The 24,234-nt window shown below is 51.8% G+C and overlaps 1 protein-coding gene across 5 annotated transcripts in view, besides 1 other annotated feature; it reads left to right on the top strand.

Moving 5' to 3' along the window:
• Positions 2,668-3,169: an enhancer, noted in NCBI's record as "H3K4me1 hESC enhancer chr17:76576879-76577380 (GRCh37/hg19 assembly coordinates)". NCBI's record gives its function as "activates a minimal SCP1, AML or CMV promoter by ChIP-STARR-seq in naive H9 embryonic stem cells {active_cell/tissue: H9 hESC(naive)}" and the evidence as "EXISTENCE:reporter gene assay evidence [ECO:0000049][PMID:30033119]".
• The window catches only part of DNAH17 (dynein axonemal heavy chain 17), a 153,700-nt gene continuing 136,035 nt past the window's right edge, over positions 6,570-24,234 (top strand). For all 5 annotated transcript variants that reach the window (XM_024451013.2, NM_173628.4, XM_011525416.3 and 2 more), the window contains exons 1-13: positions 6,570-6,671; positions 8,884-9,253; positions 11,072-11,265; positions 12,184-12,376; positions 12,588-12,687; positions 12,933-13,018; positions 13,594-13,719; positions 14,439-14,591; positions 14,714-14,800; positions 16,800-16,967; positions 17,236-17,352; positions 21,986-22,251; positions 23,031-23,226. In XM_024451013.2, coding sequence (XP_024306781.1) covers positions 8,909-9,253; positions 11,072-11,265; positions 12,184-12,376; positions 12,588-12,687; positions 12,933-13,018; positions 13,594-13,719; positions 14,439-14,591; positions 14,714-14,800; positions 16,800-16,967; positions 17,236-17,352; positions 21,986-22,251; positions 23,031-23,226 — 2,031 coding nt within the window. In that variant the 5' untranslated portion in view covers positions 6,570-6,671; positions 8,884-8,908. The remainder of the gene's footprint in view (positions 6,672-8,883; positions 9,254-11,071; positions 11,266-12,183; positions 12,377-12,587; positions 12,688-12,932; positions 13,019-13,593; positions 13,720-14,438; positions 14,592-14,713; positions 14,801-16,799; positions 16,968-17,235; positions 17,353-21,985; positions 22,252-23,030; positions 23,227-24,234) is intronic.

The following is a 24,234-nucleotide window of genomic DNA, read 5'->3' as shown; positions in this document are numbered from 1 at the left end:
GAGTATCACATGGTAAGAACATGGCAAGAGAAGGAGTGAGAGAGTAAGGAAGGAGTTTCAGGATTTTATTTTATCTTTTATTTTTTTTAATTTTTTTGAGACGGAGTCTCACTCTGTCACCCAGGCTGGAGTGCAGTGGCGTGATCTTGACTCACTGCAACCTCTGCCTCCTGGGTTCCAGCAATTCTCATGACTTACCCTCCCTAGTAGCTAGGACTACAGCCATGAGCCACCATGCCTGGCTAATTTTTGTATTTTTAGTAGTGATGGGGTTTCACTGTGTTGGCTAGGCTGGTCTTGAACTCCTGGCCTCAAGCAATCCACCCATCTCGACCTCCCAACATGCTGGGATTACAGGCATGAGCCACCACGCCCAGCCAGAGTTCCAAGTTCTTTTAAACAACTGGATCTCACATGAACTCACAGAGCAAGAAGGCACTCATTACTGCATGGAGGGTACCAAACCATTCATGAGGAATCTGCCCCCATGACCCAATACCTTGCACTAGGCCCCACCTCCAACATGGGGGATCACATTTCAACATGAAATTTCGAGGAGACAAGCATCCAAACCACATCACAGCCAAAGACTACATTTCCCAGCCTCCTGTGCAGTGAGATGTGACCATGTGACCTGGCGTGACCAATATGGGGTGAGCCAACGAGCTATGAGCAGCCTCTGGGTTAAGGCATTCAGGTTACATCTCTTCCCTCCAGTTCAGTTCTTCTGGCTTCCCAGGGTTGGTGCAGTGGGCAGGGAGGAAGCCACATGGGAGTGGTGGTGTGGAGAGAAAGAATGGGAAAGTAGAAATATATGTTCCAGGCCATTCTCTTTTTGAGACAGCGTCTCACCCAGGCTGGAGTGCAATGGTGTGATCTCGGCTCACTGTAATCTCTGTTTCCCAGATTCAGGTGATTCTCCTGCCTCAGCCTCCCGAGTAGCTGGGACTACAGGTGCGTGCCACCATGCCCGGCTAATTTTTTGTATTTTTAGTAGAGACAGGGCTTCACCATATTGGCCAGGCTGGTCTCGAACTCCTGACCTTGTGATCCACTTGCCTTGGCCTCCCAAAGTGCTGGGATTACAAGTGTGAGCCACCCTGCCTGGCCAGGCCATTCTTTAGAGAAATGTGGCAGTGAAGAGGCGTAGAGATGGAGAGGGCGAAGAGCTTGAACAGGATTGCTTTTTCCAAGATGGTAGTGACTTGAGCTGTTTGAAAGATGATAGAAGAGGTTGGAGACAGATGAGGAAAGGATTGGACTGCTCATGCTGTATATCATATACGCGTATCAGTGCCCTCCAGGGAAGCAGAACCAATAGGCAAGATAGAGGGACAGCAGTTTCATGAGGATTGGCTCACGTGATTATGAAGGCTGAGAAGTCCCACTCTGCTGTCTGCAAACTGGAGAACCAGGAAAGCCCACAGTGTAGTTTAGTCCAAGTCTGAAGGCCTGGGAAGCAGGGGCGCTGATGGTGTCAACAGCAGCCCAAGGGCAAGAGAAGATGAGATGTCTCAGCCCAGACACAAAGGCAGGAGCAGATGGGTGAATTTCTCTTTCTGCTTTTGGTTCTATTCAAGACCTTGAAGAATTAGGGGATGCCTGCCCACTGGGGAGGGCAATCTACCAAGTTCACTATCAAATGCCAGGCTCATCCAGAAACCCCCTCACAGACACACCCAGAATTAATGCTTAATCTGGGCACCATGGCTGTTCCAGCTGATGGGTAAAATGAACTATGTGCTGGCACAGACTGGGAGGTTTAAAGAGCGGAGATTCATGTTCTCACAGTTCTTGAGGCTGGAAGTCGGAGATCAGGGACCAGCATGGTTGGGTTCTGGTGAGGACCCTCACCTGGGTTATAGACTCTGACTTCTTGCTGTGTCCTCGCAGGGTGGAGAGAGAAAGAGATCTCTCTTTTGTTGTTATTATTTTTTGAGATGGAGTCTGGCTCTGTGGCCCAAGCTGTAGTGCAATGGCATGATCTCAGCTCACTGCAACCTCTGCCTGCAGGGTTCAAGCGACTCTTCTGCCTCAGCCTCTCTAGTAGCTGGGATTACAGGCACCTGCCACCATGCCCAGCTATTTTTTTTTTTTTTTTTTGTATTTTTAGTAGAGACGAGGTTTTACCATGTTGGTCAGGCTGGTCTTGAACTCCTGACCTCAGGTAATCCACCCACCTGGGCCTCCCACACTGCTGGGATTACAGGCGTGAGCCACCATTCCCAGCTGCTCTTTCTCTTCTTAAAATCCCACTGAATTATAGCCCCTCTCTAATGACCTCATTTGACTTTACCTCCTAAGGACCCCATCTCAGATACAGCCATGTTGGGGGTTAAAGCTTCAGCATATGAATGCTACCCTATTTGGAAAAAGGGCCTTTGCAGATGTGATTAAGAATCTGGAGATGATGATGTAATCCTGGATTACGTGGGGAGAACCTAAATGCCCTCCCAGGGGTCCTTGTAAGAGAGAGACAAAGGGAGATTGCTCCCAACACACACAGAGCTGGCTGTGTGAGGACAGAGGCAATGATGGGAGGGATGCAGCCACAGGCCAGGAATGCCGAGGACTGCTTGATGGCGGCCACCAAAGGCTGGAAAAGGCCAAGAAGTCTCCCAGAGCTGCGGAGGGAGCACAGCTCTGCCCGACACCTTGATTCAGACCTCAGCCCCCGGGAGAGAGAACTTTTTGTTGTCTTAGCCGCCTAAGGTTGTGGTGCTTTGATAGCAGCCACAAGAAACTGCGACAGTATCTAAGCAGAACATGGAGGAGAACCACGTGGGTACTCAAGCCGGAGAGGCTGTGTTGCACACGACAGGAGAGCTGAGGAGCCCAGCGGGACTGGGAGGTGACCCAGAGATCAGCAGCAGGAAGCTGCTACCTCCCCAGGGGGAAGGAGGTGACATCCCAGGGTCGAGGGCAGGGCCACAGGCAGAAGCTGAAGAAGGATGGAGCTCCTGTGCCTTCCAGGAGGCTCATGAAGTGTAGAACCTGCCACCCGGTGATCGCTCAGAAAACGGTAGCCAGGACTCTTCTTAGGCCAATGTGGGCATGAGCTGGCCAGCTCTCCTTTGCAATAAGCACCATGTGTTTCTGGAACCAGGAATGCCCTTCTTGCCCCTAACGCCCCATGGCTCAGGGATACTCATCCTCAGAACTGTGGCCGAGGAAGCTGACGTCTCCAGAGGGGCCTGGTTACTAGCTCAAGTGGCAGACAGCTGGAATTTGTGGGGGCTTGCTGAGTACCCCTGTGTCTGGGAGCTCTGGGGTGATATGCAGAACTGAAGTGACGGTTTAGTGGCACTGATTTTGCTCCTGGATGTTGGTGTGGGACAGTGCCAACTTCTGTGGTGGACACACCCTAAGATTGTACAAAGTCTGTTCCGTTCATTGCCCTTCCCTGGTAGCTTCTGGAGAGCCCGAGGGTGGCCTTCCTATCCTCACATGGCAGGGATGCTGCCGGGCACCCTGCTGCCAATGTGGCTGCCCTCAGCCCACCGGGGACAGGACCCTGCCACCCCTCCCATGTCCCTCTGAGCCGGGACAGAGGTCTTCCTTCACCTCTACTTTTAGTTTATTATGAAGAATGCTGCTGCGAATATGTGTGTGTTTTGATTTCTCCCTGGTGCACCCCTAGGAGGGGGTAGCTAATTGGTAGCCCCATGTTTAACCTTTTGGGGAACTGTCACTTTTCCAAAGTGGCTGCAATGTTTATACCATATCAGCCGTGGATGAGGGTGCCAATTCCTTCACATCCTTGCCCGTGCCTGGTGTTTTGTTTTGTTTTTTTCTGTCTTCTCAATTTTATCCATTCTAGTGGGAATGAATTGGGGTTTTTTTGTGTGGGAAAATACACAGAGCATAACATTTACCATTTTAGCCATTTTAAGTGTACAGTTCCGTGGCACTGAGTACACTTACATCGTTGTAAAAACACCACCACCATCCATCTCTAGAACTTCTTCACTATCCCAAATTGAAACTCTGACCCTGTTACCAGAAAGGGGTCCAGATCCAGACCCCAAGAGAGGGTTCTTGGATCTCGTGCAAGAAGAAATTCAGGGTGAGTCCATAGAGTAAAGTGAAACAAGTTTATTAAGAAAGTAAAGGAATGAAAGAATGGCAACTCCATAGGCAGAGCAGCCTGAGGGCTGCTGGTTGCCCATTTTTATGGTTATTTCTTGAGGATATGCTAAACAAGGGGTGGATTATTCATGCCTCCCCTTTTTAGACCATCTAGGGTAACTTCCTGACATTGCCATGGCATTTGCAAACTGTTACGGTGCTGGTGGGAGTGTAGCAGTGAGGACCACCAGAGGTCATCTTGGTTTTGGTGGGCTTTGGCCAGCTTCTTTACCGCAACCTGTTTTATCAGCAAGCTCTTTATGACTTGTGCTGAACCCCCGTCTCACCCTGTGACTAAGAATGCCTTCACCTCCTGGGAATGCAGTAGGGCCTTATTTTACCCAGACCCCATTCAAAATGGAGTGGCTCTGGTTCAAATGCCTCTGACGGCCCCATTAAAAAATAAATTCCTATTCTCCCTCCCTAGCCCTTGGCAACCTCCATTCTACTTAATGAATTTGACTACTCTAGGGACCTCATTGAAGTTCATTTTACTTTGATTTGCATTTTCCTAATGGCTAATGATATCAAGCTGCTTTCCATGTGCATACTGGTCATTTGTGTATCTTTCTTGAAGAAATATCTATATCCTTTACTCCTTAAAATTAGGTTGTTTTATTGTATTACGACAAGTCCCTTGTCAGATATATGATTTGCAAATATTTTCTCCCATTCTATGGGTCATCTTTTCCCTTTTTTAGGGTGCCTTTTGAAGCATAAAAGTTTTTGGTTTTGATGAAGTTAAACTTATCTTTTTTCCTTTGCTCACTTATGCTTTTGGCATCATATGTAAGACATCATTGCCTCATCTGAGGTCAGATCAACTCCTGTGTGCTCTTCTAAGAGTTTTATAGTTTTAGCTCTTACATTTGGCTCTTGCATTCTGTTAATCTATGCTGAGTTAATTCGTGTAGATGGCGTGAGGTAAGGGCCCAGCTTCGTTTTTCCGCATGTGGGTATTCAGTTATTCCAATACCATTTGTTGAAAAGGTGATTCTTTTCCCATTGAGTTGTCTTGGCACCTTTGCTAACTCAATCGTCCATAAATGGATGCATTTATTTCTGGAACCTCAATTCTATTCTAGTGATCTCTGTCTATTGTTATGCTGGTAGCACTGTCTTGATAACTGTAGCTTTGTAGTGAGTTTTGAAATCAGGAAGTGTGTGTCTTCAGACTTTGTTCTTTTTCAAAGTTGTTTGGATGGTTTTTGTTCCCTCATACTTCCCTATAAAATCTAGGGTCATTTCTACAAAAAAGGCAGCTGAGAGTTTGATAAGGATTGTGTTGAATCTGCAGATCAACTTGAGGAGAACTGTCGTCATCTTAACAATCTTCTTTTTTTTTTTTTTTTGAGACGGAGTCTCACTCTGTCTCCCAGGCTGGAGGGCAATGGCGGGATCTCGGCTCACTGCAAGCTCCGCCTCCCAGGTACATGCCATTCTCCTGCCTCAGCCTCCTGAGTAGCTGGAACTACAGGCACCCACCACCACGCCCGGCTAATTTTTTTGTATTTTTAGTAGAGATGGGGTTTCACCGTGTTAGCCAGGATGGTCTCGATCTCCTGACCTCGTGATCCACCCGCCTTGGCCTCCCAAAGTGCTGGGATTACAGGCGTGAGCCATCACGCCTGGCCCGTCTTAACAATCTTCTAACCCATGAACACAGCATGTCCTTCCATTGATTTAGGTTGTCTTTATTTCCATGATGTTTTGCAGTTTTCAGTGTACAAGTCTTAACACTTCTTTTTAAAGTTTATTCCTAAGTATTTTGTTGTTTTTGACGCTATTGTAAACGAAATTATTTTGATGCTGTTGTAAATGGGAGTTGTTTTCTAAATTTCATGATCAGATTGTTCATTATGGGGACAATTGTTTTCTAAATTTCATCATCAGATTGTTCATAATATAATTACAGAGAAATATAATTAATTTTCAAATATCTTGTATACTGCAAACTTGCTGAATTCCTCTATTAGCTCTACAATTTTATGGATTTCTTGGGATTTTCTACATACAAGATCACCTTATTGTAAACAGAGATAATGTCTTCCTTTCCACTTTGGGAGGATTGCTTGAGGCCAGGAGTTTGAGACCAGCCTGGGCAACAGAGTGAGACCTCATCTCTACAAAAAGTACAAAAATTAGCCAGGTGTGGTGATGTGCGTCTGTTGTCCTAACTTCTCAGGAGGCTGAGGGGGGGGGATCACGTAAGCCCAGGAGTTTGAGGCTGCAGTGAGTTATGATTGTACCACTGCACTCCAGCCTGGGTAACAGAGCGCGACCCTGTCCCCCCTCCAACCTCCCCTCAAAATGATCATCTAAGAGCCTTTCCACTGTGGGGTGACGGTTGGTTCCTCATTTGCTGCGCTATCATTGGTTACTTGGGTCCCAAGGGGAAGGTTCTAGAAGCCCCAGGTACCGTGAGGAGACTCCCAGAAGTTATGTGGCAGTTGGAGCCCCTCGAGGGAAGGGAGCCATTTTCTTTCCTGGTTTGGGAAAGAGTTGCTCATCAGTTTGCGGGAGAAGCTGTTTGCCTTCAGCTGGTGAGCGGCCTTCAACCATGCTGGGGGAGTCGGAGGCCAAGGTGGAGGGAGCAGGGAGGCCTTCAGAGGATGGAGGTGGGACCTAGGCCCTGGCAGACAGCAGACCCTCCACTTACCCCAGAAGTGGCTCTGCTCGCCACCGGGAGCTGTTCATGGCTCTGGGACCCCGAGGCTGGCTGCCACGTACCAGCCTGACCCCTTCCAGGGCTCCAGACTCTTCCCTGCTCCTGGGAAGGCCTTGCCTCAGCCCCCTGGCTTCTCCTGGAAGCCCCTAGCCCCAGCTTCCTCCTGTGGAGTCCTGAAGGCCTGGGGCATGGGCCACCTCCCAGAGAAGCCGTCTCTGCCCCTCCGGAAGCATGGCCTGGGACAACCCTATTGTTAACTGGGACCTCCTGGCCTTCAGCCCAGGAAACGGCTGGGTGGGAGCCTGAGATGAGACCTCCCGATCGTGCAAGAAACTTGCGGGGTGTAGGGGCCCCTCAGCCCACACATGTTATGGCTTGGGAGGCAGCCCACCCCATGCCGTTCTTGGAAGAAAAGATGACTTTGTGAAAGCCCAAATCCACAAAATCAGTAAACCAGAGGATGTTTCCCTCCAGTCCAGTCGCCTGACCAGCTTGGCGAGACTTCCAATCAGGAACCTTCCAGGACTCGGGCTCCCCTGAGTTCCTGATCCCCCTAGGAAATGACGACGTGACGCGTCCCCGGGTCTCGGAGATCCTGGGTGGAGATTAATTCAGCAGCATGCTGAAAGCCCTGTGGGAACCTGGTGAACGAGTCATCTCCATAAATGCCACGCGGTGCTCCTCCTACTTGCCTGGTGGTGTCCCCTTTTTCTTTCACAGATGTGCCTGAATCGGGTGGCTTTGCTCGTGGACCGCCATGTTTCTGCCATTTGCTGGCCAAATATTCCCCAAGTCCTCTCTCAGAGATGTTTGGAGCCTTGAATAAATCTCAGACCATTTGAATAGCATCCAAATGCTATCCACTACTGCTTCCCATCATATAGTTGTTTTGCCGATATATAGTGGCCAGGGTGAAATAAACCTGTTCCGTGGTATTACGTGTCTTTTGGGGAACTGTAGGCTGTTACAAACTTAAAAGCAATAGCTTGGGTCAAACCAAAAGGCAGAATTTGTGAGTGCTTCCAACGTCATCTGTCCACCCTGATGCTTTTCAGCAGCTGCCAGGTCTGGAGCAGGCCAGCCCCAGCCCACGGACCCCCAGAGCAGCTGAATACCCCAGGGTTCCCCTTGAAATTCAGGAGCTGCATACCTCCCAGATTGTGATGAAAACACAGCATCAGGCGACCCTTTGCATTCAACCCTGCCCTTGCAGAACTCGCCTCCAAGGCCCCCACCTCAGGCCTCTTGCCAGAGCCTGTCTTTATTTGAAACTTTGGTATTTTGTTCATAAATTTGTTTGCATTCATTTTGATGTTTAAAAATATTGACATGCCTTTTCTCTTGATGACTGTTTGGGTGTGTCTTTAAATTCTGTAAGTACCTCACTTGCCTAAACTTTGGGACTTCAGGGTGTTCTTTAAGGGGATCCCTTCCCCCCAATTCTCTAGTTAACCCTACCCCCGAGCATCTGAGCAGCTTGTGAGGGGTCTGTCAGGAATTTGCAGCTCGATTCTTTTAGGGGTGCACGCTGGGGGCTGGAGGGAGAAAGGGTGCAGAGCAGAGTGAAAGTTAAGGTGCACCACGGCTGCGGCTAAGACTGAGCGCTGAGCCTCACGGCCTGCACGTGGGGTCTGCTTCCTTCTTGCGTTTCACACATACTCTGGGGCTGCGACGTCTTTTATTGCTTTCCCAGGACCTTTCAACCTGACCCCCCAGCCTCTTGTTCTGCCTTTTCCTACCCCATCCCCTTCACACTGTCTGGTTGCGGCCATTTCCTTTTCTCTCTTTCTCCAGCATTCATCTCTATCTTTCCCATCCTCTGAACTTTATGGTCACAGGATTGTAAGCACACACCACTTTTGGGCAGCCTCACTCCCGGGGCACCCCCCATGGCGGGGCCGGGGCAGGTGCCAGCACCTGCTAAAGCACCCCCACCCCAACCCAACCACAGCTAAAAACTGCACACTCTCGACCAACTGTTTTGTTCCTGCTCCGGTAGAAACAGAGATTTCCTGCGGTGCCAGGGATGGGTGGGAAATTGGGGAGCCCGGGAGACAGTTCGTACCTGTTTCTTGCACTCTTAACAGATACACAGTGTAAGGAAAGGCCAAGATGACAATGGCCCCGGACGTCAGACTAGAGTATCTGGAGGAAGTTGCCTCCATCGTCCTGAAGTTCAAGCCGGACAAGTGGAGCAAGCTGATAGGCGCCGAGGAGAACGTGGCCCTGTTCACAGAGTTCTTTGAAAAGCCCGACGTCCAGGTGCTGGTGCTGACGCTCAATGCAGCCGGCATGATCATACCCTGCCTGGGCTTCCCCCAGTCCCTCAAGTCCAAAGGGGTTTACTTCATCAAGACAAAGTCCGAGAACATCAACAAGGACAACTACAGGGCCCGGCTCCTTTACGGCGACATCAGCCCCACACCCGTGGACCAGCTGATCGCGGTGGTGGAGGAGGTGAGTGCGTCCAGGCTGCCATCCGGGGTGTCGAGCACGACCGACTTCTCGGGAGCGGCCTTGAGTCCTGCTGCTCAGCCTGGAGTCCCTGGGCCAGCAGCAGCTGCAGAGCCGGGGAGGGATTGGAAATGCAGGCGCTCGGGCCCCGTCCACCCTGACCTGCTGAGACAGACCTGCTTGCTTTTGGTTTTTAAATTTTTTTTTTTTTTTGAGACAGGGTCTCACTCTGCTTCCCAGGCTGGAGTGCAGTGGTGGGAGCACAGCTCACTGCAGCCTCAACCTCCTAAGCTCAACCAATCCTCCAGCCTCAGCCTCCTGAGTAGCTGGGACCACAGGCATGCACCACCACACCTGGCTAATTTTCGTATTTTTTGGTAAGAGATGAGGTCTCACCAAAAAATAGCCTGTTGCCCAGGCTGGTCTCAAGACTCCTGGGCTCAAGCGATCCTCCTGCCTCAACCTCCCAAACTGTTGGGATTATAGGCGTGAGCCATCATGCCCGGCCACAGACCTGCTGTCTAACAAGACCTCCAGGTGGTGCTCGTGCCCTTGAAGTCTGAGAAGCCCCGAGCATCCCCTTGTTCTCTCTGGACAGCATTGAGACTGCCATGCTGTGCCGGGTACGGTTGCTGCCCATGGCCTGGGAAGGTGGGGACTGAGTACTGGCAGATAGGTTTCTCCAATTTTGAGACTTTGACTTAAGAAAGGGGAAAAAATGGAGTGTCATTTTATGTGTCCCTCTGCTGTCCCCCTTGGCAGGTGCTGTGTAGGTGGGGGGGACACACTTTGGGGATTCGGACCTCCAGAATGGGGGTGCCTTATCCTTCCTGGTCATCACTCTTCTCATCTGCAGTACAGGGGCCTGTGTGCTTCGCTTGTACACCAGACATTTTCTCACAGTCCTGGAGGCTAGAGGTTGAAGTTGAAGGTGTCGGCGGGGTTGGTTTTCCCCAAGGCCTCTCTCCTTGACTTGCAGATGGACATCTTCTCCCTGGGTCCTCATGTGGTCGGCCTTCTGTGCATGTCTAATCTCCCCTCCTCGTAAGGACACCTGTCAGACTAGGGCCCACCCTAGTAATCTGATTTTAATTACTCACCTCTTTTTTTTTTTTTTTGACAGTATTTTTGCTCTGTTGTCCAGTCTGGAGGGCAATGGTGTGATCTCAGCTCACTGCAACCTCCACCTCCCAGGTTCAAATGATTCTCTTGCCTCAGCCTCCCAAATAGCTGGGATTATAGGCAGGTGCCACCATGCCTGGCTAATTTTTATATTTTCAGTAGAGACGAGGTTTCACCATGTTGGCCAGGCTGGTCTCAAACTCTTGACCTCAGGTGATGTACCTGCCTCGGCCTCCCTAAGTCCTAGGATTTACAGGTATGAGCTACCGCCCCCAGCCCTTACTCACCTCTTTAAAGACCCTATCTCCAAATAGTCACATTCTAAGGTGCTGGGAGTTAGGGCTTCAGCAGATGGATTTGGGGGACACAGTTTGACCCATCACAGTCCTCCTAGGCTTTTAGCAAGGAGTGTGTGCTATGGGTGCAAGAGCTTGGGGATGGCTTTGGTACCACCAGGACAGGGCAGCTGGTATAAACTCCATGACCGGCCACACCTCCTTCTGGAAGAAGGATCCAGTTTTCCCAGGGCTCCAGACACCAGGTCTTTGGAATCCCCCTGGGGACCTGGCTCTGTGCGGGACCCAGTTTTCCCAGGGCTCCAGACACCGGGTCTTTGGAACCCCCCGGGGACCTGGCTCTGTGCGGTTGCCGAGCTGGTGAAGGCACAGGGGGCGGAACCACAGAAGTGTTTCCTTTTAGGTCCTCTCTTCTCTGTTAAACCAAAGTGAGAACATGGCTGGATGGCCCCAGGTGGTCTCGGAAGACATCGTGAAGCAGGTCCACAGGCTGAAGAATGAAATGTTTGTGATGAGTGGCAAGATCAAAGGCAAAACCTTGCTGCCTATTCCGGAGCACCTGGGCAGCCTGGATGGCACGCTGGAGTCCATGGAGAGGTGTGTGGGCCCAGCTGCTTCCGGCTGCCGCTGGGTGGGGAAGAGGCACATGCTTGACCCCCACCCCCCACCCCACTCCACCCCACTCCGACCCGTTGTTTCCCTGCAGAGTGGCTTCACATGTTAAAGCCGGGGAAATGCAGGGCAAGGTGGTGCGTTAGGTGGTGCTGAGACTGAGGAAGTTGAAACCAGGGCAGGGAGGGAGCAGGCTCTGCAGCCCCTGGGGCTCTGGCACCTGCACCCCACACCCCCCGCTGGGTCACACATGTGTGCCGATCCAGTCACCACCCAGCAAGCAGAAGGTGTCCCACCTGTCAGCATGGCCAGGAAACAGGAGGCACAGCTTTAAGATGTGGGACAGGGTCAGTGAGTGGGAGTGGGAGGGACTCTCAGCAGGTACATGCAAGTCTGTGTAGAGGCTGCGGTGCCCCCAGAGGCCCTGGGAAGCCCAAGGGACTCCAAGGTGTCCCCTCGCACCTGCCTTGCCACAATTTGCAACCGCCCTGATATGTGAGACCCCCGTGACAATTAGTTCCGTATTTTGCCTCACGTGGGCAAGTCCTCCACTGATCATTCACAAAGCCCCAAGCACCATGTCCGGTGGTGACACCAGGGGAGCCATCTTGAATAGGGTTTAAATAGGGTTTACTTAATTCTCTCCCGCTTCCTTGGAGGTGAGCGCCTCCAGGCCCTGGTATCTCTGACCACGCCCATTATTTCCCTGGGCTCTCTTCCTAGCTGGGAGTCTTGGGAACTTCTTTAGCGTCCCCGAGGTGGCTGGAGGCACCAGGGACATGAGACCAGACGGTGCTGCTGCTGGTGGTTTGGGATTGGTGGGCAGAAGGATTCATGGGAGAGCTTGGTGGGACCCACGTGTGTGTCGCCATGAGAGCAATGCCCCAACCTTCCACTGGGCAGGATCCCCTCTTCACTGGACAACTTGCTCCTGCACGCCATTGAAACCACCATCATCGACTGGTCCCACCAGATCCGGGATGTGCTGAGCAAAGACTCAGCCCAGGCGCTGCTGGATGGGCTGCACCCCCTGCCCCAAGTGGAGTTCGAGTTCTGGGACACTCGGCTGCTGAACCTCAAGTGCATCCATGAACAGGTACGGCCTCCTCTCTCCTGTGGGGCTGCAGCCTCGTCCCAGCTGGGCGACCGGGCCGAGCTCTCCGCCTCCCAGTGCCAACCTCCCAGGAGTCCTGAGGGCTCTGATGACCTGCGTAAATTCTGCAGCTCCAGCCAGCCACAAGGTCAGGTTGGCCTCGCCTTAGGGTCTTCCAGGTCAATGAAAGGTGGATCTTCACTCCCCTTCTCAGCTAAACAGACCCAAAGTGAACAAGATTGTTGAGATCCTAGAGAAAGCCAAAAGCTGCTACTGGCCAGCCCTGCAAAACGTTTACACCAACGTCACTGAAGGTGAGCCTGTGACCCTGTCATGAGTTCTGCACGAAGCTGTTTGTGCCTCCTGGGAGGGCTGGGTCAGACTTGTCACCAACCCTAGGATGTTGGCCTCCCTCTGCGAGCAGCTTTCTCAGCCCCCTCCACTTGAGAAAGGCCCCATTTCCTGAAGGAGCAGGTCTCAGCACATGGAGCCGCACCCTCATCGTTTCTGAGCAATTTCTGCTCTCTTACCGGTGGGCACTTGTTCTTGTTCCGTGCAGGGCTGAAGGAAGCCAACGACATCGTGCTCTATTTGAAGCCCCTACGGATCCTGCTGGAGGAGATGGAACAAGCCGACTTCACGATGGTGCGCAGGCAAGGGAGAGCCGGCTTTGGTGGGGAGGGTCTTGTTTCTTTTCTTTTCTTTTCTTTTTTCTTTTTTTTTTTTTTTTTTTTTTGAGAGGGAGTCTCGCTCTGTCACCAGGCTAGAGTGCTGTGGCGCGATCTCGGCTCACTGCAACCTCCAACTCCCTGGTTCAAGGGATTCTCCTGCCTCTGCCTCCCGAGTAGCTGGGATTACAGGCATGTGCCACCATGCCCAGCTAATTTTTGTATTTTTAGTAGAGATGGGGTTTCATTATGTTGGCCAGGATGGTCTCGATCTCCTGACCTCATGATCCGCCCACCTCGGCCTCCCAAAGTGCTGGGATTACAGGCGTGAGCCACCACGCCCGGCCTGGGTCTTGTTTCTTCAAGGCATGTGGGGCCGTGGGTTTCTTGGCTGCCATCAGATGTGTGGGCCTAGGGAGTTGCCTCTCCCCTCCTCTTTGGGAACCCTCTGCTGGATACCCAGTGAGAGCCATGGGAAGGGAAGGGCTGGGACACCGGGATAAGGTGCAGCGGCCAGTCCCCTCCAGTGTGCCTGGGCCTGTCTCCCCCCAGCTCCCCACCTTCATTGCCAAGGTGCTGGACACCATCTGCTTCATCTGGGCCACCTCTGAGTACTATAACACACCTGCCAGGATCATCGTCATCCTGCAGGAGTTCTGCAACCAAATCATCGAGATGGTAACCCTCCCCTGGCCCCTGGGTCCCCTTCCTCCCCTCCTGGCTGGGTCCCCTCCCCGGTTCACTGTTTTCCTGCTGCCCATGTTCCCCAGCAGTTTGAAAGCAGGCCAAGATGTCAGCACAAGCCTTTTCAGGCCCCGAGCTGAGATGGAGCCCTCTTCAAGGCTACCTAGAGTTCTTCTAGGGGAGGGTACTGAGGGAAAAGAAAGGGAAGACGGGGACAGAGGAGGAGGTCTGCCCTGAGAGTCCCCGTACCCCGAGACCCATCTAGTGCTTTGTGGGCTTCTCTAATCGCACATCAAACCACCTTCCGTCTCCCTTAGCAGAGACTTCTTTTCCTTCTTCCCATTCATAAGCACCTGCTAGCCAGCCATGGCGTTCGAGCTGAAGGGCTGTATCCCTGGGCCACCTCTATATAATAAAACCATGCTGTGGCCCCGTCTGCAGGACCAGAAGGGCACCGGGGTCCCCTGTCCCTGGAGGGCCTCTCATCATCTGCGACCCCCACCCATTTATGCTGCAGCCTTGGCAAAGGATGAGGGGCCGAGGAGGGGAAGCAGCTCGGTCCCCTAAAAACGGCCCAGCAGTGGGCAGATAGGAGGGGTTATTTTCAGATATCCATATGTCAGAACAGATCACAGGTCCTGCAGGCGGCGTGCCTGGACGTCACCCCAAATGGCTTGTCGGAGCTTTAGATGTCTGTCTTCTCTTTTGCCCAGACACGAACCTTCCTGAGCCCGGAAGAGGTGCTGAAGGGCCTGCAAGGTGAAATCGAGGAAGTCCTGAGTGGCATCTCCCTGGCTGTAAATGTGCTGAAGGAGCTCTACCAGACGTACGACTTCTGCTGCGTGAACATGAAGCTTTTCTTTAAGGTACCCCTTCCTCGCAGGGCGAGGGCCAAGGCAGGACGAGTGAGTTCATATGAGCCCCGATATTTGATAAACTTGGGACATTTGAAGCAAACGTGGCCTCATCTCTCTTTCTCTCCTCTAAGGACAAAGAGCCCGTGCCTTGGGAATTCCCTTCTTCTCTTGCCTTTTCCAGGATAAATTCCTTCTTCCAGCGCATCCAGACCATTGAGGTAAAAACAGAACTCGGTGCATCTTGACCTCCACTTCCCAGACTGCTCCTACCCTAGGACACCTGCAGCGTCCATCCCTACCCCCCTTGCCAATAATCCCCCAGGCAGAAAATAAGTGAGGCCCAAATATCTGTTATGAGGAAACCAAGGCTTTGCGGCAGCATCTGCCGTGGCCAGAGCTGTTAGCCAAGAATAAAAATGACCCACTTCGGGTGCTTCTCCCCTTATCTCGTGCATCCTATCATGAGCGGGTTACTGATAAGTTAAACCCCCACGTTCAGGACGCCTGGGGGCCAACAGCAGTCACTTAGTGGGACTCAATTATTACAAATGGAGACTTATGAAGGCCCCCGTGCAAGCACCATGTGGATACACGGAGTGACGCACAGCAGATAAAAACTTAAAAATGGTGCATGGCCCAGCCCAGTGGCTCACACCTGTAATCCCAGAACTCTGGCAGGCCGAGGAGGGAGGATCACTTGAGCTCAGAAGTTTGAGGCTGTGGTGAGTCATGATTGCGCCACTGCAGTCCAGCCTGAGCGACAAAGTGAGACCCTGTTTCAAAAAAAAGCTTCAAGGCGGTTTTCTCTGGGGCTCTGGAGAGAAGAGATGAGAGGGATCAAGACGGGGTAGGGCAAGAAAGTTTTGCCTTTTGTATCTTCTGCATGGTGTAATTTTTAAAAACTTTGTGCACATATAACTGTATAACTCACATCCTTAAAAAAGGGGAAAATCATCCTGGAACTGTAAAGCATTGACTTAAGGGTGGACACCATTGTCAGAGGCTTGGGAGAGGCTTGTCCAGTTCTCTTCTACACCTCCTGGGGGGCAGGGGAGGGAGGCCCGCTCAGGAGTTCAAAATTGCAGTCACAGAGCGCGGACTAATGCCTGAAATCTCCCAGACCGAGAATGTGGAGGAGAGTCACAGTCACACTTTGGGCCAAGGAGCTCTGGTTCCCACATGACTGATTCTGAATCAGAAGGAAGATTCTGGGTAGGAAGGGACTTTGGAGGTGGAGGAAATGGCTTTGCTGTCCACCCCCTGACAACAGGCCATGCCAGCTTGTCTGTGTCCTCCGCGTCGGGTGGAAGAGCCAAGAGCTCCTGGTCCTCGGTGCCTGTCTCCTCGGGGTGGTGTTGGTGCGTGGCCTGATGCTTCGTGGACCTGGGAGAATAGCACCAACCTCAGCACCAGTTCAGGGGAGTGATGTCAAGTCCACAGGAAGATCTCCAGTCTAAACTCTGCCTGCACTGTGCCTGGTAGGTGCAGGGGCACAGAAGAGCATCCAGGGAGCCTTGGAGACCTCATTTGGGAAACAGGAACTGCACACACACAACCAGCTAACGGGATGGGCCTGAACGTGACTAAAGCAAACACAAGCGGCGCAGATGGGAGACCGGGCCCCTGGGAAGGAATGCATTGCTATGGGCCAAAATAGTCAGGGAGCGCTTCAGGGAGAGGGGGCATGAGCCACACCGGCGAGGAAGCAGAATTTTCTACACGTGTGTCCATCCAAGCATTCCAGCCGCTTTCTTCTTGGATCACCTTCGGGACACGGCACTCTGCATAGGATGGTCTTCCAGGTAGCGGGGAATTTAAAGCTTAGCAAGAGCATCAGAAATCTTCAGCACCATTCCAACCGCTTCCCACAGCGGAGAAAACGGAGGTCCCAGCAGAGTGTGATTTATTTAGAGATGCGGTTTGGCCAGTCTGGGGTCAGGACAGGATCCCAAACTTTATCCTCTCCAGCTCCTCCTCATTCACACCTCATAGATAATTCACAGAGCCCTTCCTTCCATCCCCTCTTTCTGCAGGGGATGGAATATTTGCTTAAAGAACAGCACAGACACAGAGGGTGTCCTCCCACCCCCATGGTTGGTGTCTCCTGGGGACATTTTGCTCCCCAGCTCCTCCTGCCTGGGGTCAGAGCTAGTTTTGTAACTGGACCCGTGAGTTGGGTTGTGAAGATGAATTGACTGTGTTTTTCTCCTCCACTAGGAACTCTATAAAACAGCAATTGAGTTTCTGAAGCTGGAGAAAATCGAGCTTGGGGGCGTGCGTGGGAACCTCCTCGGGAGCCTGGTGACCCGTATCTATGATGAGGTCTTTGAGCTGGTGAAGGTTTTTGCCGACTGCAAATATGATCCCTTGGACCCTGGAGACTCGGTAGGTCCTCGGGCAGGGTTGGATGAACTGGACTCGGTGAGAACAGCACCAGCCTCGGTACCAGCTTAGGGGTGTGATGGGAGGGCACACGGAGGAAGCAGGTGCCAGGTGATCCCAACACTTTGAAAACTGTGTAGAGCGGTCCCCGCAACAGCACATTCAGCTGCGCCTCAGTCCCGAGTCCTCTCAGCAGGGCAGGGGCTGGAGAGGGTGCCCTTGGCTTGCTTTGCACGCTGATTACAAGGTTGACATTTCCATTTGCTTTTAGAATTTTGACCGTGATTATGCTGATTTTGAGATCAAAATCCAAGACCTGGATAGGAGGCTGGCCACGATCTTTTGCCAAGGATTTGATGACTGCAGCTGTATCAAGTCCTCCGCAAAGGTAAGCATGCAGTGGAGACGCAGGCAGATCTGGAGCCTGGCACTGTGGTGGTGGATTCATGTCGAGAACGATCTTGGAGACCATTTCATCCTCTCCATGTAGAGCTGATGTCCAGGGAGGGAGGGCCCGTCTCCTGTGCCTCAGAGTCAGTCAGCCGTGAACACCCAGTGTAGCTCCTGATGGTTCTTACTGCCACATCCTAGAGGAAGAGGAGCAAGTGAGTGTGAGATGGCATTATTTTACTGATACTTCTTATGCTCACTAAGAAACAAGGGGACCATTTATTCTTGATTCAGTTTTCCCACTACTCAAAAGGAGTGAAAGTTAAAGAGGTAAAGTTGGTGTAAAAATAAAATTAATGCAGATTTTGGCCCACTGAGCTGAATTTATAGAGTGCCTTCGTCCATGCAGGCTACTATAACAAACTGCTGTAGACCGGGTGGCTTAAACAACAAACATTTCACTTCTCTCAGTTCTGGAGGCTGGGAGGTCCAGCAGACTCGGTGTCTGGTGAGGGTCTACTTCCGTTCCTAGAAGGCCATCTTTTCATTTGGTCCTTACATGGCAGAAGGGGCAAGGGAGGTCTCTGGGGTCTCTATTTTTAGTTTTAAGGGGTTTGTTTGTTTTTTGTTTTGTTTTGTTTTTGTTGTTTGTTTGTTTTTTGAGATGGAGTCTTGTTCTTGTTGCCCAGGCTGGAGTGTAGTGGCACAATCCCAGCACACTGCAACCTCCGCCTCCCGGGTTCAAACGATTCTCCTGCCTCAGCCTCCCTAGTAGCTGGAATTATAGGCATACGCCACCACACCTGGCTAATTTTTCTATTTTTGCTAGAGATGGGGTTTTGCCATGTTGGGCTGGTCTCGAACTCCTGACCTCAGGTGATCCGCCCACCTCAGCCTCCCAAAGTGCTGGGATTACAGGCGTGAGCTACCACGCCTGGCCTACTTTTTGTTTCTGTAGAGACAAGGTTTTGCTATGTTTCCCAGGCCCATGAGTTCTGGGCTTGACTGCTTCCAGGGCCCCTGATCTGAACAGTTTAGCCGGACCAGCTCCCATGACTGTGAAGGCAATTGGGTTGGCCTGGGCAGCCTGGGCTGGTGGTCATCTTTCAGGAGGATTTCAAGGCTGAGATTGCTAAGGACAAAGATCTCTCCCCGACAAACGTCAGGATGTTCCTTTGCCCTTTTGAATGCTCTTGCAAAAATGCAAATACATGAGAGTTTGAAGCTCCGCAAATTAAGGATCAAGTAAGTCTTGGATCGAGTTGGTGTTCCAGGCAAAATATCAATGAATGCAAATTAATACAGCACCTCCTTGCTGTGGTTGAAAAAATTATTCAGTTATACTTGCTAAAGCAAGATGAGGCTGACTTGATTCAGACCTTACTCACGATTTATACCATCTCAATAGATACAGGTGTAGGGAGAGCGATGGGAGCTCAGCTTTGAATACACTGCAGGTAAGTAGGAATTTCTAGCAAAGGAGCAGGGTGGGAGTCCATGGATAGAAAATTACTTAGAGGGGACATCAGGGGTTGGGGGATTCTAGCTAAACCAACTTCAAGATTCTAGCTGGAAGCAGGTTAGGGTAATCAGACATCCCCTGCGGGATGGTGGAGGATGGAGACCCTGATGAGAATCTTTGGCTAAGCAAAGAATCTGGCAACATTCCCTTTCTCAGAAGGCTCTTCCCCAGGTAGCTGCATCTAGTTGCAGGGTCCTCACTTCCTTCCTTCCACTCAAATGCCCCCAGGCTGGTCCCTTCTCAGCAATGGCCTTCCCTCATATTCATTTGTATACTAATGTCTGTGTGTTCGTTGTCTTCCTGACTAGAAGGTAAACTCCCTGAGGTCAGGCACTGGATTTGAGTTCCCTTAGAACTGAGCCTAGCACAGGGCAGGCGCTTCTGAGTATTTCCTGCAGTGCACAACTGGCTCTTGACAAGGGAGGCTGGTTGTTCTGAATGTTGTTGGGAGGTAGTTTCGCTCTAGCATAAGCCTTCCACGTGGAGCCCCTGAAGGATAACACAAAAGCGTCAGGACTGCCCCAGCGCAGAAGGGTCCCAATGGAGCCAATTCTTTCATTTGGAAACCTCACTTTTGGGTCTCCAAAATTAAAGATGGGGCACAGGCTTATGGGCTGGGCGGGCGGGCAGCTGGCTTCTGTGGCTCCTGCACCCCTAACACTGGCTCCACGGGGAGGTGCTGTGACTCCCTGCTGCTGTTCCGATGTGGAAAAATCTGAAAAATTAAGTAACTTGGTCACCCGGCCAGGGCCAGATGAGTCCCCAGAGTCTTGCTGTCCCCAACATGGAGATTGTGCCACCTGCATCTAGTTTGGCACAAGGGGAAGAGCAGATAAGGACCAGCGTACGGGTCTGGGCTGAACCTCCCCCAGGGTTCACTAGGGGATCCGGCAGTGGGGAGGGAGCTGGGTTGGCGAGTTCAACTTTGTGACCCCTCGGGAGCCCTAGGCCCCTACCCTGTGAGGAGCAGGAGGTCCTGGAAGAAACCCAACCCGACCTCTGCAGAATGGAGCTAGCGAGGAACAAATGCAGTCACCCCGCCCCAGGCTTTCCCCTGCATCCCTGGCACCTGTTAGGGTCAAGAGGGGCTTTTGGGCTCTAAAAGAAAGATCTCTTTTTAAAAATTTTCACGTATGTTTATGCTCAATTTAAAACAAAGAAAAGCGGAGGGGAGGGAGGCAGGGGGAGAAATAACTCTTGTAACCCATTTCCATCGCCATCTGTTCACGTTTCTCTTTGACCTAAGAACATTTTCCCCCTGGTTTGACAGCCCTGTGCTCTAAATAGGATAGGGCCCTGGGGTTTCTCTCCCTTGTTGTCCCTTCCAGCCCCTGCCTGTTCCGGAGTTAGTTCTCATTATCAGCAACTCGCACACAGCCAGGAACGTTCTAGAGCAATTTTCCACATGATCTCCTTTTGGCGGAAAATAGAATTCGCTTCCTTTCCAAAAGTCATTAAACTAAAAACTATATAAACATGAAAAGGAGGAGAGAGAAATGGGAAGACAGAGAAAAATAAAAATGCCTCCCGCCTCGGCCCCTCAAAGTGTTGGGATTACAGGTGTGTCGGTTGTCTGGATGATGGGTCTTCAGGTTTTTGGGGTTTTTTTCTATTTTTCTGACTTCCAAGTAAAACATCTACCCGCATTACAGGATAGTCATAAACCATTAAGAGGAACATTTTTTTTTTCCAACTGCCCCATGTCAATGCTTTGAACAAATGAAACTGGTGACCTCATACGTCAGCAGGCGACCGTGGAGGAAGGCGGTAGCTGGCAGGACACCAGCGTTTCCATGTCTGCCTGAGAGTCCACGGCTGCTCCATTTGTACAACTCACAATACAAATAGGTCCAAGGGTGACAATTTTTTTCTAAGCCCAGGAGAAATCAGAATTTGGGTAAGGAAGATTTGAACAATTTTGAAAAACACAATTAACTTAAAAATAGCCGCAATCTTGCATTTGGGAAATCTGTACTCTTGGGGGCCTGAAAAATCTCCCTCTCTTCGCAGTCATGTTTTGGTTTTTCCTCCTGTGGCCATTTCTAGGGACAGTGGTCACCTTTCTCAGACCCAAGTCTGGGGAAAGTCTGAGACTCAGGCTCACCGCAGCTGGTCTGGCCCCCATTGGGCGTGGGTTATGGCAGCCCCGGGAAACTCTCTTGGATTTCCCACTCACACCCAGCACTGGGGGACCCTGTTTCGTGTGAGGTTGTCTTCCCTCTCTCTGGTCCCCCTCCCACTTGGTCTGACCCCCAGAGCTTTCTCAGAGCGAAACACATTTCCTGATGGTGGTTTTCTTGCCTCAGCTGCCCTTGAGAGTGGCAGTGCTCTTCCTAAGAGGAACGCTTCCTGTGGATAAAATATTTCTTCATTTATCTGTATCAGAGTAGAAGCCCAGGTATATAAATGCAACGTTATGGCTATTTTAAAATTGTTTACTTGGAGTTGTTTTGGGTTTGTTTTTTCTGGAGACAGGGTCTTGCTCTGTTGCCCAGGCTGGGGTGCAGTGGTGCAATCTTGGCTCACTGCAGCCTTGACCTCTGGGGCTCAAGTAATCCTCCCATCTCAGCCTCCTGAGTAGCTGGAACTATAAGCGCACACCCAAAAGAATACAAAAACTGGACCCCGCTAGTTTCATGTATTCTTTGTATTTTTTATTTTTATTTTTTGTAGAAACAGGATTTTGCTGTGTTGCCCAGGCTGGTCTCAAACTCCTGGGCTCAAGTGACCCTCCCGCCTCGGCCCCTCAAAGTGTTGGAATAACAGGTGTGAGCCATGGTGCTCAGCCTATTTTTTAATTGTTTAAGTCTTCCTTACCAGAATTCTGATTTTTCCTAGGCTTAGAAAAAACTCTTGTAGCCCTTGGACTTATTTGTACTGTGGGATTATAAGCCAAGTATTTGGGGACTCGGCCTAAGTCAATGAGAAAAGCATAGAGGCTTCCACTGAGCCAGTTGACACACACAAAGGTTCCAGTGGATTGTTTTGTTTTGGCAAGGTACACATTCTCTCACTCCTGAAGATTGGCCCTGCCCGTTTTGTCCACAGCCACAGGCTGGGGAAGGGGAGGAGACTGTGGTGAAGAGGCCCCCTTCTCCTTTGTCCTCAGCTCCTGTACATGTGTGGGGGCCTCATGGAGCGGCCCCTGATTCTTGCCGAGGTGGCGCCCAGGTATTCAGTCATGCTGGAGCTGTTTGACGCTGAGCTAGACAATGCTAAGATCTTGTACGATGCCCAGATGGCGGCCTCCGAGGAGGGGAACATCCCCCTGATCCACAAAAACATGCCTCCCGTGGCCGGGCAGCTCAAATGGAGCCTGGAGCTGCAGGAGAGGCTAGAGGTGTCCATGAAACACCTGAAGCACGTCGAACACCCGTGAGTCACAGCCCTGGGCAGGGGCAGGCACCCCGCCTCCATGGTGCGGGAGAGCGAGAGGGACTGTCCCAACCCCGAGCGGGACCACCCCTCCTGTCGACCAGACTGTTACCTCCCAGAGCAAAAGCCCAGAAGAGACCCCTTCTGGTCCTCCCTCCTCCCCTGATCACCTTCTTGGTGGGAGTGCTCAGGAGAAATCTGGCTGGTCCCCACCCTTGCCCACCAGCCTGGTAGACATGAAGACCACCCAGGCAGGAACAGGAAGAGGCTGTGTATGCAGCTGACTGAGCCACTGTTGCGTGCACTTGGCCAAGTCTCCTGGACAGCCAGGGGCCGGGGAGGCTTCACGGTGGACGCAGGGACGGCTGCAGGGGAGCCCCGGCTTGGCCTGGGGAGGCCGGTGCAGCTGACTAGGAGGGGGGCCTTTTATGTGGTTGTTTGGGGGGCGTATTTGCTTTCATCTAGTTGGCCCCAGGTTGGAAGGGAGAAGGAAAGTTGGAGAGGGGCTGGCTGTCATTCATCCAGGCCTGGCGGTCGGGAGCCAGTTGCTGCGTGGGTTCTATTTTGGCCTCCTGGGCTGGTGGCTGCAGACTGCAGGTCGGAGTTCCATTTGAACATTTGGTCTGGCCACTGCTTGTTTGCATATTCAGTCTGTGAGCCTCGAGTAATTGGGTGGCCGGCCGCTTCGGCACCCCAGATCGGGCAGCAACGATGGGACGTGCCGAAGACACCCCACAGGAGATATCCAGTGGGGCCTCGCCTTCCCGCTCTGATTCCAGGGTCATGTCTGGAGCAGAGGCCAAGCTGACCTATCAGAAGTATGACGAGATGATGGAGCTGCTGAGGTGCCACCGCGAGAAGATCTACCAGCAGTGGGTGGCGGGCGTGGACCAGGACTGCCACTTTAACCTGGGGCAGCCGCTGATTCTGCGGGACGCCGCTAGCAACCTCATCCACGTCAACTTCAGCAAAGCGGTGGGTGCCAGGAGTGGGGACCGCGTCAAAGGCTCCTTGGGAGCGGGGGGAGGGCCTGCCAAGGTTCCCTCAGCACGGATTTATGGAGGTCGATGTTTATATCACAGTTCGCCTAAAGCTTTACTTCTTAAGTGTGTCCAGGGTATATTTAAGACATGAGGGAAAGCAGAAGCAACTTTGACAATAGCTTCAATGAGTATCTTCTTGAAAGCGTTCCTGTGATCCCAAGAAGAAATGACAATTTGAAACTGGGGGGGGGGAAAAAGTCTTTGCCGAATCTAGATAAATGCACTGGCTGGTCAAGGCAGGCACACTGGGGAGAATTCACACTTGTGGGCTCTGGGATGTGGGTTCTATGGCTAAAACCCGGAAAGTTCAGATGAGCAGAGGATGGAACCGAATTCCTACAAGCACAGCCCCAGAGCTGCCCAATCTGCACGTGGCAAGGCAGGGAAACCAGAGATGCGGCTCTTCCTTGGAAATCTTCCCACTCACTAACATTCATTCTTTCGTTCACCAAATACTTACTGAGCACCTACTACATGTATGTGCTTGGGATAAATTAGTGATCCAGACAGTCAGAGAGCTGTCTGTCCTGCCCTCCTAGAGCCTACCTCCAGGCAGGAGGGCGGGGAGGATGATCAGCTAGCATTCACGAGGGAGTCAAGTGTATGATATGGTAGAAGGTGCAACAGGTTCCGCGGAAGGAAGAGCAGGAAGGGCAGGTTAAGAAGATCAATAGAGCCGGTAGAAGGGGCAGGTGCAATTTTAGATGTGAGCAGAGACTTGTGGGAGGTCAGAGTGCCGCTGAGCAGAGATGGAGGGAACAGCTTTGCAGCACGGCATGCGGGTAAAGAAAAGGCCAGGTGGCGCCCGAGAGCCTGGTGCAGTCCAGGAGCAGCAAGGAGGCCAGTGGGGCGGGGGAATGGGCAAAGGGGAAGGTCGTAGGAGAAGAGATGAGAGGTGACGAGGAAGGGCCCCATGGACCACAGAGGGACTTGGAGTTTG

This window comes from Homo sapiens, chromosome 17 (assembly GCF_000001405.40).
Source record: "Homo sapiens chromosome 17, GRCh38.p14 Primary Assembly".
Taxonomy (NCBI): Eukaryota; Metazoa; Chordata; class Mammalia; order Primates; family Hominidae; genus Homo; species Homo sapiens.
Note: the sequence above shows the minus strand (reverse complement) of the source record. Positions and strands in the feature narration are given on the sequence as shown.